The following is a 16169-nucleotide window of genomic DNA, read 5'->3' on the forward strand; positions in this document are numbered from 1 at the left end:
AAATACATATATATGTATTTTTACATTTATGCATTAAAAAATATATATGTATCTTTACATTTATATATTAAAAATACATATATACGTATATATGTGTATATATATACGTGTATATATGTGTGCATATATATGTGTGTGTATATATATATGTATTTTTTTTCCCCCAAAGTTGTTATTTCTCTAGGATAGAGGTCTGGAAGTAGAATTGATGAAACCAATGGGTATGTACATCTAAAAGTTTCATAGATACTGCCAAATTACCTTTGCAAAGGCTGTGCTAATTTATTCCCATTAACACTGTAGGAGAATACTTATCTCCCTATACTCTTGCCAACACTGGATATTATCGGTCTTTCTAACTCTTGCCAATCTGATGGGCAAAAGTATTATCTTGTTTTAATTTGCATTTCTCTGATTACTAATGATGATCTGGCAACCTTTCTTTCATTCTATCATAAGGAGTCAGACTATTCCTTCTCACTGAAGAGCTTTTCTACTGAATAAGCTTATTTTAAAGAGCTCCATTAATTCTCGATAAGCATAATCTTATTGGTGCTCCTCAATTACTGTGCTACTATAAATTTGGTTTACATTTAAAAGATATGTTGATGAGTTTGTTTATTCACTGCCTGACCAAAAAAAAAAAAACGGTGTTAGATATCTGTCTGCTTTTTGCACTTGACAATATAGGGCAAGAAGAGAAGTGAAATATTCTAACAAAATTATTGGATTATTATGGGTAGCTTTTATAGTTGCGTGACTGGTTTTGCCATTGCCCAGAATCAGAATTTAAAATGCCAGCCATGCAAAGATTTACATTTGTTTACAAGGACTTGATAATAATGAAGTGAGGTAGCTCACTATAGTATTATGTCTGTAAAACCAATTAAATAAATACGTTAAAAATATAACTAATTTAAAGATATAATATGGTTATTATGAGACTTAGCTGAAAAATACTTTTTTTTTTTTTTTTTGAGACAGAGTCTCGCCCTATTGCCCAGCCTGGAGTGCAGTGGCATGATCATAGCTCACTGAAACCACCAACTGCTGGGTTCAAGCCATCCTCCCACCTCAGGCTCCTGTGTAGCTAGTACTATGGGAGTGTGCTACTGTGCCCGGCTAATTTTTAAATTTTTTTAGGAATGGAATCTTGCTATGTTTCCCAGGCTGGTTGCGAACCCCTGGCTTCAAGCAATCCTCCTGCTTCGGCCTCCTAAAGTGATGGGATTGTAGGCATGAGCTACTGCACCTGGCCAAAATATCTTACTTTTTTTATTGAGACGGAGTCTCACTCTGTCGCCCAGGCTGGAGTGCAGTGGTGTGATCCCGGCTCACTGCAAGCTCCGGCCTTCTGGGTTCACGCCATTCTCCTGCCTCAGCCTCCTGAGTAGCTGGGACTACAGGCGCCCGCCACTACGCACGGCTAATTTTTTTGTATTTTTAGTAGAGATGGGGTTTCACCGTGTTAGCTAGAATGGTCTCAATCTTCTGACTTCATGATCCACCCACCTTGGCCTCCCAAAGTGCTGGGATACAGGCGTGAGCCACCATGCCCGGCCCAAAATATCTTACTTTTAAACTCTGCCCAGAAAGTTTAGGTGAGATAGTTTTTGTAGGTCTAATTTATGTTCTATATTTTGTAGCTTTTATAACATCCCTGGATTCCATCAGAATCATTTATAAGACTTCAGATATTTATAGTATAATATATCAGTTGAAATTCTGTTTACATTCTATTTATATATGCCCCAATATTAGGTTAATTGTATTTAAAGCCTTTTTCTGTCCTCTCCTGTATCTTAAAAAATACTATTATTCAAGTATAAGAAAATGAGAAAGCCAAGGAATTTTGACCTATTTGAACTTTAATGCAAAAATGTAAATCTTTTCATGGATTAAAATATGGCACATCAGTGTTACAGAAGTTTTAAAAGAAAGATTTTATTTTTGTATCTAGGTAAGTCCTGTGTTTGTAGTTTTATATTTTAATTGGCTGTTTAGGAAGTTACCTTTTCCAGACAACCTTTTTAGACCTTGTAACCTTTGAGTACCATTAGTAATTAGTTTACAGTTCTTTTGAACAGTATATTTATATGTTTTGGCAAAATTCAGAACTATACAACTGTTCTTTTTGGAAAACATGTTTTGTCTTTGAAAAGATAAATAATGTTACTTAGCAGTATAAATATACTTTCCTACGTCCTCAAAAAATTGGTAAAGATTACCTTTCCCCATCCCCTTCCCCCACTCTATGCTTAGGAGGCCAAGAATTATTATTGTATAATGTAACGTATGACTCTATTTTTACCTTTTTCAAATGGATAACCAAGTATTAAAGAATCATTATTGAGTAGTTACTATGGTTTGGATATGGTTTTTTTGTCCCCACCAAATCACATGTTGAAATTTGATCCCCATTGTGGGGGTGTTGGAAGGTGGGGCCCAGTGGGAGGTGTTTGGGTCATGGGGGCAGATCCCTCATGAATTGCTTGATGCCATTCTCTCTCTGGCTAGATGGAATTAGTTCCAACGGAATAGGTTAGTTCCCTCAAGAGTGGGTTGTTATAAAGCCAGGACACCGCTTAGGTTTGGTCCCTCTTCACATATGCCCACTTCTCCTTTGGCCTTCTCCATCATGTTTTGATGCAGCCCTCACCAGAAGCTGAGCAGGTGCCAGTGCCATGCTTCTTAAACAGCCTGCACAACCATGAGCTAAATAAAACTCCTTCCTTTATAAATAACCTGCCTCAGGTGTGCTGTTATAGAAACACAAAATAGACCAAGACAGTAGTCAAGACTTTACATGTGGATTTGTAATGGTAGCAAGCAAGGTCTCTTGCTATACTTTTTATTATCAGTATAATTGGAATAATTTAGTTACACATTGAGGGCCAGTCTCAGGAGAACAAGCTTCTCCAGATTTCTTGTTTCTATATTTTTAGGAAGTGCCTTGATAGGTGGAGGAGATAATGATTGTTAAAAAATTGAAAACAAGATTTATCTCTGATAAGGAAGCTTTGATCAGTAAGCCAAGTGTCAGATTACCTGAGTATAATTATCAATGGCAAATCTCATTTTCAGCAACACAGCTTTTGGGCTAGATTTGCCATGATCCATATATACTGTGTTTTGTAACCTGGTAGTCAGGGTATATTCTTTATGTTGAAGAGGAAGAAGATAGAAGAGATGAAGATCATGGGATGCGGATTTGTCCTAGACTATGCTGTTCCTACTATCCAGAACAAAGTTGCAAATAAGCAGTTTTTCTTATATGATGTATAATTTATTTCCCCTCATCATTATTCATTAAATTAGTGCCTTATATCATCACCAGTTAATTTTCCACAAACTAGGCTTGTTCTTTGAAAGTTAATTTACCAGTTAATTTCAAAATTCTTATTACAGGAAATGATTTTGTTTAATATAAAGTCTTGAGATTAGAAGAGAGTTTTTTTCCCTGGTGAAGGAAAATGCAAACATTGCAAAGAAATGTGGTTGTTTGGATGTTTTATTTGTGTTACGTCCTTTGCCTGCTTTCTTTGCAGGAAAGAAGCTCAGTGCCACTTAGTGTATTTTTCCTCTCAGAACACTTACACAGTTTTGTGATGTGAAGAAAGCCCTGGTTAAGGCTCAATGTGCTGGACTTCCTCACCCTTATGTTACAGTATCACCCTCAGTTTATAAACGAAAACAAAGGTCAGAGTTCCTTTTTCAAAGGATAAATAAAGAAATAGCATTGTCAAAATAAAGAGTCAAACCATCTGGTTATACATGAAATAAGAATTCTAAGATCTAAGGACATTTTCACATGCACATAGTTAGATGGTATAAAAAGAATACTTTTGAAGTGAATTTTGAGCTTCTAAAATAAACCCTTTCCTCTTAATTTCAAAAAGTAATGGTTGCTTATTCATTTATTAAATGAAGCAGGAATATAGCATTTCATTTGATTTAGAAAATAATTGTTTCATCATGGCAAATTATCACTTAGAGAAGAGGGGAGATAAAGACACACACACACAGAGGAAGTCAAAGGAGGCTCAGGTTTTTGATTTCATAAATCAACACACTCCCTTCATTTTCTCATTGCATTACTGGGCATCTTTTTTGTTCACTTAGTAGTTTTTACTAGATTTTCTTAGTGGCTTTCTCAGTTCAATATAGCTAATTTTTTATTCTTCTGCTCATGAAAAAATATTTTTCTCATTAGAAGAGTGATACATGCTCACCATTAAAATTAAGATGATATAGATATGAAAAAGAATATGGCTCATGGAGTAGAACTGGTATAATTAAAATGACCATACTGCCTAAAGCAGTCTACAGATTCAATGAAATTTCTTTCAAAATGTCAATGTCATTTTTCACAGAAATAGAAAAAACTATCTTAAAATTTATATGGAACCAGAAAAGACCTCAAATAACCAAAGAAATCCTGAACAAAAAGAACAAAGCTGGAGACATCACACTACCTGACATCAAAATATATTACAAGGCAACCAGGTGTGGTGGCTCACACCTGTAATCCCAGCACTTGGGGAGCCCGAGGCAGGTGGAGCATTTGAGGTCAGGAGTTCAAGACCAGCCTGACCAACATGGTGAAACCCCATCTCTACTAAAAATACAAAATTAGCCGGGCATGGTGGTGGGCACCTGTAGTCCCAGCTACTCAGGAGGCTGAGGAGAATCATTGAACGGAGATGCAGGTTGCAGTGAGCTGAGATCATGCCACTGCACCCCAGCCTGGGCAACAGAGAGAGACTCCATCTAAAAAAAAAAAAAAATATATATATATATATATATATATATATATAACGTGTATATATAATGTATTTATACATAATGTATACACACATATATACATATTATGCACACACATACATATAACAAGGCTGTAAGAACCAAAACAGTATGGTACTGATATAAAAACAGGCACATAGACCAATGCTACAGAGTAGAGGATCCAGAAGTAAATTCACATATTTATGGCCAAATGATTATTGACAAAGGTGCCAAGAACATACACTGGGGAAAGGGCAGTCTCTTCAATAAAGAATGCTGGGAAAATTGGATATCCATATGCAGAAGAATGAAACTGAACCCTCATCTCTGACCATATACAAAAATCAACTCAAGATGGATTAAAGAATTAAAGCCCCCAAACTATAAAACTATTGGAAGAAAACATATGGAAAACACTTCAGGGCATTGAACTAGGCAAAGATTTTACAGCTAAAATCACAAAAGCACAGACAACAAAAAGAAAAATAGACAAATGATGCTATATTGAACTAAAAAGCTTTTGCACAGCAAAGGAGTCAACAGAGTGAAGAGACAACCTGTTGAATGGGAGAAGATATTTGCAAACTCTCCATGTGACAGGGGACTAATATCCAGAATATATAAGGAATTTGAACATCTCAGCAGCAAAAAGACAGTCTGATTTAAAAAAGGGCAAATGATCTAAACAGATATTTTTCAAAAGAAGACATACAAATGGCCAACGGGCATATGAAAAAAATGTTTAACATCACTAATCATCAGGGAAATGTAAATCAAAACCACAGCGAGATAGCATCTTAATCCAGTTAGGCTGACTATCATTAAAATGACAAAAAAAAAGACAGATTTTGGCAAGGATTCAGAGAAGAGGGAACTCATACACTGTTGGTGGGAATGTAAATTAGTACAACTACTGTGGAAAACGGTATGGAGATTTAAAAAAAAAAACTTAAAAGGGGGTGGGGGAGAACTAAATATAGCACTACCATAGGACCCAGCAGTCCCACCACTGGGTATTTATCCAAAGGAAAAGAAGTGTATCAAAGGGATACCTGCACTTGCATGTTTATTATGTCACTATTCACAATAGCCAAGATGTGGAATCAACCTACTGTCCATGAATAGATGAATGGATTAAAAAAAGTATATATATGGAATGTAATACTATTTGGCTGTAAAAAAGAATGAAACCATGTCATTTGTCACAACATGAATGGAATTAGAGATTATTATGTCAAGTGGAATTATACAGGCAGAGAAAGAACAAATATCCCATGTTCTCACTCATTTGTAGGAGCTAAAAAAGTTGATCTTATGGAGGTTGAGAGTAGATTGATAGATACCAGAGGGTGAGAAAAAGATGTGGTTGAGAGGGGGAGATGAAGAAAGGTTGGTCAGTGGGTACAAACATGCAGTTAGATAGAAGGTATAAGTTCTAATGTTTGATAACAGAGTAGGGTGACTATAGTTAGCAATAATGTATTAAGTATATTTTGAAGTTGCTGGAAGACAGAACTTGAAATGTTCTCAACACATAGAAATGATAAATACTCAAGGTAATAGGTTCCTCAAGTATCCTGACTTGATCATTACACATTTTATGCATGTAACAAATTATCACACGCACCCCATAAATATACAAAATATTAAATGCCAATAAAGTTTTAAAAGAATATGAAAATCATACATAATTCTACAATTAAAGATTATAATGGTAGATGTTTGGGTACAACTGTGTGAACTTATGTAGACACATTCATGCCTTCATTTTATGCACTTATATGTGTTATTTTGCAACTTAAAAAAATTGGCAATATGTTGGATGGCATATCCAATATCATGGATATCTTCCCATATAAAAATCTATACATTCATATCATCATTCAAAATTATACAATTTATTATAGTACTTAAATTACACCATAATGTAACCAATCCCTTGTGTCATTGGACATTTAGATTGCTTTCACTTTTTAAAAATGGAAATATTTCAAGCATAGACTAGAGTATGAGAATAACAGAGCATCCTGTATATCTGCTACCTAGAGGTTAATATTTTACTATTTTTTTGAAAGAAGAAATAAAATATTACAGATACTACTGAAACATCCTTTTTATCCTACCATATTCTGTTCCCTTACCTCGCTCCTTATAGATGATCATTATCCTGAAACTTATGTGTATCTTTCCTATTTATGTTATAAAACATACATATATATATTTTTTCTACCATATATGCATCTATAAACATTGTGCTTCCATTTAAATTTTCTTTGCTGTGGTTTTAAAACTTGCTTTTCCATCTAACACTATATTTGAAATTTTTGTTATTACATATTCCTAATTCATTTTAACTGTTGCATACTGCATTTTATGAATATGCCACAATTTATTTTTTCATTCATTTGCTGGTAGATGCCAGTTTTTTACTTTCTTTTTTAGTGAACATCTTTTAAATATGTCTCCTTGTATATATTATAACTAGATGCCAATTCACACTCATCAAATTAGTAAAAGTAGGAGTCTAACAATATCCACAACTGGCAAGGATGTGAAACCAGGTACTTTTATATACTGCTGGTATAAAAGAATGTCCAGCCACTTTGATGAGTTTAGTAATATCTCCCTTCTTCTGTAAGTGATAAGTAATAAAATAATTCATTATATTTTACATTTGATATATTCCCTGTTTCATGAAATAAATGAATGAGTAATCGTCACCTTTGAAATTAACAGAATAACTAATGGCAATGACAGTACCCTTATTAAGGTATTGTAATTGTTCTCCCTACTTTTGTTTGCCTGCACTATCCCTTCTTGCCAGTTGCCATTCTCTTTGAATTCTGAATACTGAAATAATTCCTCTAGTTAGGATCTGACCATTTCCATCATTATGATCCCTTTAATCAGATTGATAAGCAAATTGTATCAACTTTAATTAACCAGGTTGTGTTCAACTATAAACTGAGTTATAATGACAAATTGCAAATGGCAAGTGCTGTGGTAAGTAATGAATGAGTGAGGGTCTTTTTTGTTGTGGTTGTGTTTGTTATGTTTTGGAAAACAGTATGTTTTATGTTTCATTACCAAAGAATTCCTCTTAGTCTTGATTCTTTTTTTTATTTTTTAAGATGGAGACTCGCTCTGTCATGCAGGCTGGAGTGCAATGGTGCAATCTCAGCTCACTGCAAGCTATGCCTCCTGGGTTCAAGCAATTGTCATGCCTCAGCTTCCTGTGTAGCTGGGATTACAGGCGTGTACCACCACGCCTGGCTAATTTTTGTATTTTTAGTAGAGACAGGGTTTCACCATATTGGCTAGGCTGGTCTTGAACTCCTGACCTCAGGTGATCTGCCTGCCTTGGCCTCCCAAAGTACTGGGATTACAGGTGTGAGCCACCACACCCGGGCTACATTTGTTCATAATACTAAAGGAGAATTTTTCTGATGCCTGTTAAGTTTTCATGGATTTACTTTTTGTATTTGTTTCTGAACTCTTGCTGTCAAAGATTTTGTTAAGAATTCTGTAGTTATTACATTTAACCTCTTTATGTTTTTACAGGATTTGTCAAATACTATAGAATATGAATTATGCATAAATATTCTTTACTGGGTTGTACTGATTATATGGCAATTGTAGAGGACATGGATTGCTAGTGTAAGCACAATCCACTTAGAATTCTTGTTTTTAGAGAAATTATTTTGTTGCATGTAGCTGGAATGGCAATGTTTGATTGGAATTTTTTTTTTTTTTTTTTTTTTTTTTTTTTTTAGAATGATGATGTGGTTGTAGTATTAGTATGAATGTAACTACCATAGTTTGGATATTTGATCCTTATGTTGAAATCTGATCCCTAGTGTTGGAGGTAAGGCACAATGGGAGGATGTTTGGGTCAGGGAAGTGGATCCCTCATGAATGGCTTGGTGACTTCTGCTGTAATGAATGAATTCTCACTCTTAGTTCCTGTACGAGCTAGTTGTTCAAGAGTCTGGCCCCTCTCTTCTCCTCTTTCATCATGTGATCTCTTCTCACACAGGCTCCCCTTCACCTTCCACTATGCATGAGTGGAAGCAGGCCATCAGAAACAGATGCTGGTGCCATGCCTTTTGTGTGTGTGTGTATGTGTGCTTTCTTGTATAGCCTGCAGAACTATGAGCCAAATAAACCTCTTTACAAATTACCCAGCCTCAGGTATTCCTTTATAGCAGTATAAACGCACCAAGACAGTAACGTATCAATTAAAAGGCATTGTCCTCCAGAGCGCACATTCATTTTGTTTTCTAAAATGTCAAGGTATCATATCCATTGAGTGAACACACATTATCTGTGTGTACCAAATGAGAGGCACACACCAGATGACCTTTTCTTCACAGAGCTGGAATATCATAAAATCAAAATCCTGACAAATCAGTACTGTGTTAAGTAAAACAAAACTGAAGGTTATAGTCATTAAATGTTTGCCAATTATGCTATTGTTATTGAGAACTAAATTTGATAAAGACAAAAAGAATGTCAACTGGATCTTTTATGATTTCCCTTTGCTTAAATCTCTCCATATCAGCTCAAATAAAAAAGAAATTATTGATCATATTTCCTAGCTTTATTCTGGACACTATGATTTGTTGCCATCCCTCCCTCCTTTTTTCTTTTAATGTCGAGGTCACTAGCAAACTATTTATGTCTGCAGATTAATTTGAAGTAGTAAACTTTGGGAGAAGATATTTATTAATTTATATGTAAATGAAATTTTATTTGCAATCAGGTTATTCTGATGATATAAAGAAAGGTATAGTGGATGTTTAATAAGATATATTGTATTTAGATGGGACAACCAAAATTCCAAAACCAAGAGAAGAAAAATTAGGCATTTGGAGTATATTTCTCCTTAACCAGTGTGATCTAAGAAATAAAAAAAAATAAAAACAAGCATCTCCATAAAAGTGTCTTTTCTGGCTGTCTGCAGAAGTGGTACTTATCAATGGTTACAGTAGACTGGAGCCTGTGCAAAGGGGCTAACCCTTTCAACACATTCATGAAACTTCTTTCTAGATGTTTTGGTGATATATATATATATATATATATGTATAAAACAGACATTATATTTGTTGTAATAATCATCACCATTAATAGTAAAAGCAGGAATATTTAAGATATAACCTCAAAAGCTGTCTTGTTCATTGACCAGCCCTATACCCTCCTGTTTCGTTTTTTTGAGAGAGAGAGTCTCACTCTGTTTCCCAAGATGAAGTGCAGTGGTGTGATCATGGCTCACTGCAGCCTTCCACTCCTGGCCTCAAGCAATCCTCCTACTTTAGCCTCCCAAGTAGTTGGGACTACAGGCATGCACCACCACAGCCAGCTAATTTTTGTATTTTTTGTATTTTTGTAATTTTGTATTTTTCTGTAAACAAAAAAATTGGAATAGATGAGCTTTCTCTCTGTCTACTAATTTTGGGTTGCATTTGGTGTTGTTTTTCTAGTTCCTTGAGGTTCATTGTTAGGTGGTTTATTTGAAATCTTTATGCTTTTTTGATATAAGCGTTTGTTACAGGAAAGGGGTCCCGATCTAGACCCCAAGAGAGAGTTCTTGGATCTCGTGCAAGAAAGAATTCAGGGTGAGTCTATAGAGTAAAGTGAAAGCAAGTTTATTAGGAAAATAAGGGAATAAAAAAATGGCTACCCCGTAGACAGAGCAGCCCAGAGGGCTCCTGGTTGGCCATTTTTATGATTATTTCTTGATGATATGCTAAACAAGGGGTGGGATTATTTCTGCCTTCCCTTTTTAGACCATATAGGGTAATTTCCTGATGTCATGACATCTATAAACTGTCATGGCACTGGTAGTGTTATAGGAAAGGGATCCTGATCCAGACCCCAAGAGAGGGTCGTTGGATCTCACACAAGAAAGAATTCAGGACAAGTCTGCAGTGCAAAGTGAAAGCAAGTTTATTAAGAAAGTAAAGGAATAAAAGAATGACTACTCCATAGACAGAACAGCCTGGAGGGCTGCTGGTTGCCCATTTTTATGATTATTTCTTGATGATATGCTAAACAAGGGGTAGATTATTTATGCCTCCCCTTTTTAGACCATATGGGTAACTTCCTGAAGTTGCCGTGGCATTTGTAAAGTGTCATGGCGCTGGTGGGAGTGTAGCAGTGAGGAAGACCAGAGGTCACTCACGTCACCATCTTGGTTTTGGTGGATTTTAGCTGACTTCTTTATTGTAACCTATTTTATCAGCAAGGTCTTTATGACCTGTGTCTAGTGCTGACCTCTTATCTCATTCTGTGACTTAGAATGCTTTAACCATCTGGGAGTGCAGCCTAGTAGGTCTCAGTCTCATTTTACCCAGCTCCTATTCAAGATGGAGTTGATCTGGTTCAGACACCTCTGACATGTTTATTACTATAAACTTCCCTCTTAATACTGCTTTTGCTGTATCCCATATATTTTAGTATGTAGTAGTTTCATTTTCATTTGTTTCAGGAAATTTTAAATTTCTTTTCTTAATTTCTTTATTCACCCATTGGTTATTCAGGAACATTTTGTTTACTTGCCATGTATTTGTGAAGTTTCCAAGGTTCTTCTTGTTATTGTAGTCTATTGTGGCCAGAAAAGATAGTGGTATGATTGCTACTTTTTGAATTTTTCAGACTTGTTTTGTGGCCTAAGATATGGTATATTCTGAAAATGTTCCATGTGCTGATAAAAATAATGTCTTTTCTATAACTGTTGGGTGAGATGTTCTGTAAATGTCAGGACTTTTCGGTTATTGATTCTTTGTTGATTTTCTGTCTGGATGATCTGTACATTTCTGAAAGTGGTATGCTAAAGTTCCCTACTATTATTGTATTGTAGTCTCTCTCTCCCTTTGGATCTGTTTATGTTTGCTGCATATGCTTGGCTGCCCCATATTGGGTGCATAAATAGTTATAATTGTTATATCGTCTTGCAGAATTGACCCCTTTATCATATATAGTGACCTTCCTTGTCTCTTTTTTTTTTCTTTTTTTGAGACAGAGTCTTGCTCTGTCACCCAGGCTGGAGTGCAGTGGCCCTATCTCGGCTCACTGCAAGCTCCGCCTCCCGGGTTCACACCATTCTCCTGCCTCAGCCTCCCTAGTAGCTGGGACTACAGGCGCCCACCACCACGCCCGGCTAATTTTTTTGTATTTTTAGTAGAGATGGGGTTTCACGTGTTAGCCAGGATGGTGTTGATCTCTTGACCTTGTGATCCACCTGCCTCGGCCTCCCAAAGTGCTGGGATTATAGGCATGAGCGACCGCACCCGGCCTCTTGTCTCTTTTTACACTGTTTGATGATTTGTAGTCTGTTTTATCTGATGTAAGTATAGCTACTACTGGAATTTCATTTTTCACTCTTCACTTTTGGACTATGTGTATCTTTATAGGTGAAGTGGTTTTTTTGTAAGCAGCATTGTATTGGGTCTTGTTTCTTTATCCATCCAGCCATTCTGTGCCTTTTAATTGGAGAATGGATTCCATTTACATTTAGTGTTATTGATGAGTTAGGACTTTTACTGCCATTTTGTTGATTGTTTTTTGTATTGTAATTTTTCTCTTCCTTTCTTACTGTCTTCCTTTGTGGTTATTTTCTCTGATAGTACTTTTTAATTCGTTGCTTTTTATTTTTAGTGAATCTGTTACAGGTTTTTGCATTGTCATTACTATGAGGCTTACAAAGCCATCTTATAACAAGTAATTTAAAGGGTGACATTTTAAGTGACATAGAAAAGAATAGAAACAAAGGAAAATGAAAAAAAATCTTCTACACTTTAACTGTGTCCCTCATATTTTGGCTTTTAGTTGTCTCAGTTCACATATTTTTATATTACCTATCTCTTACTATGTTGCTGTAGCTATAATTTTTTTTGTTTTTCTTTTTTTAAACAATTGTTTTAAATAGATTTGTCTTCTGGACATAGCTAGAGTTATGGGTGGATTGCACACCACAATTATGGTGTGAGTATTCTGGGTTTGTCTATGTACTTAATTGTACCAGTGCGTTTTAGACCTTCAACTATTTTTTTTTAATTTTAGCACATTAGTCTTTATTCTTTCAGATTAAATAATTTTTCTTAGCATTTCTTGTAAGACAGGCCTGGTGGTGGTAAACTCTCTCAACTTTTGTTTATCTGGGAAAAACTTTGTTTCTTATTATTTGAAGGATAACTTTACTGGATTTGGTATTCTTGGATGATAGGTTTCCTTTCTTCCTCCCTGCCTCCCTCCCTTCCCTTTTTCCTTTCTGCTCCTCTTTATTCCGATCCTCTCCACTCCTCTCCTCCCCTCCCCTTTCCTCCCAACCCTTCTCCTTCCCTCTCCTTTCCCTTTCTGTTCTTTCCTTTCTTTCTCTCTCTCTCTTTCTCTTGTTATTCCACTCCCTCCTGGCTTGTATTGTTTTTCAATGAAAAGTCTGTTGCCAGATGAATTGGAACTCCTTTGTATATCATTTTCTTCTTTTTTCTTGCTGCATTTAGGATCCTCTCTTTGTCCTTGACCTTTGAGAGTTTGATTAGTGTATGTCTTGGGGTAGTCTTATTTGGGTCAAATCTGTTTGTTCTCTGACCTTCCTGTAGCTGGTTATTTACATCTTTCTCAAGTTTTGGAAAGTTTTTTATTATTTTTTTGAATAAGCTTTCTATACCTTACTTTTGCTCAGCTCCCTCTTGAACACAATAATTCTTAGAGTTAGTCTTTTGAGGTAATTTTCTTTATCTTGTAGGAGATCTTTATTGCTTTTCACTCTTTTCTTTTTTCTCTTCTGTGTACTTAAAAAATAGGCTGTCTTTGACTTGGCTGATTCTTTCTTCTCCTTGATCCATTCTGATGTTGAGAGCCTTTAATGAATTTTTCAGGTCAGCAGATGTATTTCTCAGTTCCAAAATTTGTTTGATTTAAACAAAATTATTTCAATTTTCTGGTTAAAATTTTCTGATAAATTTCTGAATTTCTTTTCTGTGTTATCTTGGAGATCACTGAGTTTCCTTAAAACTACTATTTTGAATTCTTGGTTAAAAAGTTCACATATTAGGCCGGGCGCGGTGGCTCACGCCTGTAATCCCAGCACTTTGGGAGGCTGAGGCGGGCGGATCACAAGGTCAGGAGATCGAGACCATCCCGGCTAAAACGGTGAAACCCCGTCTCTACTAAAAAATACAAAAAATTAGCCGGGCGTAGTGGCGGGCGCCTGTAGTCCCAGCTACTTGGGAGGCTGAGGCAGGAGAATGGCATGAACCCGGGAGGCGGAGCTTGCAGTGAGCCGAGATCCCGCCACTGCACTCCAGCCTGGGCGACAGAGCGAGACTCCGCCTCAGAAAAAAAAAAAAGTTCACATATTGCCATCTTGTTAGGGTTGCTTGTTGGTTTCTTGCTTCGTCCATTTGGGGATCATGGTTCCCTGCTTGCTCTTGTTTCTTGTGGATGTATGTCAGTGTCTTTGCATTGAAAGATTAGTTATTTATTCTGTTCTTCTCTGTCTGGCTTGTTTTGGTTTCTATTGGATGTATTTGGTTAGAGGTTATTTACTGCTAGGTTACTGCCTCCTTTTTGGCTATAGGTGATGCCTTAAGCTTAGGTTCACCTTGGCTCTAGTAAATTATCAAAATGCTGCCCTTCCCAAAGGGGCAGTTCCCAACAGGGATATCTTGGCACTGTGGGAAGGCTGACTGTGGAGGTTCATGCCCAGTGGACCTGTGGGACAAACCTACTGTATGGTGCTACTGAATAGCTACTGTGATTTGGCATCTCCTTTGGTAGAATTACAAAGGAGGGCTCTCCTTTCCAGGGCTAGGGATTGTAGTCCTGCTTCCCCTCTTAGTCTCTATCTACCTCATGGATATTTCTCCCTTCAGGTACTTGTGATGCTTTCTGTGGGTTAAGGAAGGGACAAATCTCCTCCTAGGGAACCCAAGATAGTGGGCAATCTGGTTCCACTTTGGTCTTACTTTTCCAGTGTAGAAACAGTGAGTTGGAGGGAAATTTTCCTTGCAGTTGGTGCTCGGCAAAATGGGGGGAGGGGCATAGTAGATGTGGAAGTCTGATTCTCTGTCTGCTGGGAGTTTTTTTTACTTCTCTGTGGCCCTGGGAATGATCTCTCCTTATATTTGAGTTCTAGCTTATTTCTGGCCGTAATCTCATTGCTGTACATTTGTTTTTCTTTTTCTATGGGGGGAGTCAAACCAGCTTGCTTCTGCATCATCATTTTGGAGCTGGAAGCCAACCTATATGGCTTGAGTTTAATTGCTGTAATAATCATGTTGAAAAATATTTCCTACACTATATGATTTAGCATTGGAGCAAAAACTTAGTGTTTGCAGAAAGGCACTCAGAGCAGGATGCAAATTTAACAAGAATAAAGCAAATATTCATCATTGGAAGGATGACCACAGTTGTACTTCGTTGCAAAACAAAAACCGAGTGCTTTATGGGATTAAGAAGAGGAGCTATTATATGAGCAAATGAAAGAGTGATACATTTTATACCCAAGATATGTACAAACACTTTCCATATCACAAGCTGAGCAATATAATTTCAGGGAGGAGAAATTGCCAAATCCTGTGGAATAGATGATTGGTGTGACCAGTTCAGGACCATACAGAACTGTTGTTAAGGCATTGTCTCATAGCTTTAATTGCCTCCTTCCTTTATAAATGAAATCAGTGAATTTGATCATCTTTTTATGTGTTTATTCACTTTTTACAAAAGATAGACATTTGATTTTTCTGTTTTAGTCTGTTACCAGATTTTTTTTTTTTTTTTTTTTTTCCGAGACGGAGTTTCGCTCTATCGCCCAGGCTGGAGTGCAGTGGCAGAATCTTGACTCACTGCAACTTCCACCTCCTGGGTTCAAGCCATTCTCCTGCCTCAGCCTCCCAAGTAGCTGGGACTACAGGTGTGTGCCACCATGCTCGGCTAATTTTTGTATTTTTAGTAGAGATGGGGTTTTGCCATGTTGGCCAGGCTGGTCTTGAACTCCTGACTTCAGGTGATCCATCTGCCTCGGCCTCCCAAAGTGCTGGGATTGCAAATGTGAGTCACTGTGACCAGCCTGTTACTACATTTTCTTATGTCAAACCATCCTGCATTCCTGGGAAAGCAACTTGCTGTTTACTTTTTAAATTCATGGTTATCTCGTGGACGTCTTTTCAGTTTAGTGTATACAGGTCTTCCTTATTTTTTTAAATGGCTGCATTATTTTCCTATTGTATAAATATACTATAATTGTTTAAATAGTTACCTTGTGGATATGCATGATTTCCAGTTTTTGCTATTAAAAATAATGTACCAATGACTGTCTTTCCACATACACCTTACATACTCAGGCTAGCATTTCTGCAGAATAAATTTCTAGAAATTTATTT

General features: G+C 36.6%; 1 protein-coding gene across 16 annotated transcripts in view; it reads left to right on the top strand.

Annotated features, from left to right (window-relative positions):
• RNF13 (ring finger protein 13) overlaps positions 1-16169 on the top strand; it is a 149452-nt gene that overhangs the window by 42797 nt on the left and 90486 nt on the right. The window lies entirely within an intron of this gene.

Source organism: Homo sapiens, chromosome 3, assembly GCF_000001405.40.
Source record: "Homo sapiens chromosome 3, GRCh38.p14 Primary Assembly".
Taxonomy (NCBI): Eukaryota; Metazoa; Chordata; class Mammalia; order Primates; family Hominidae; genus Homo; species Homo sapiens.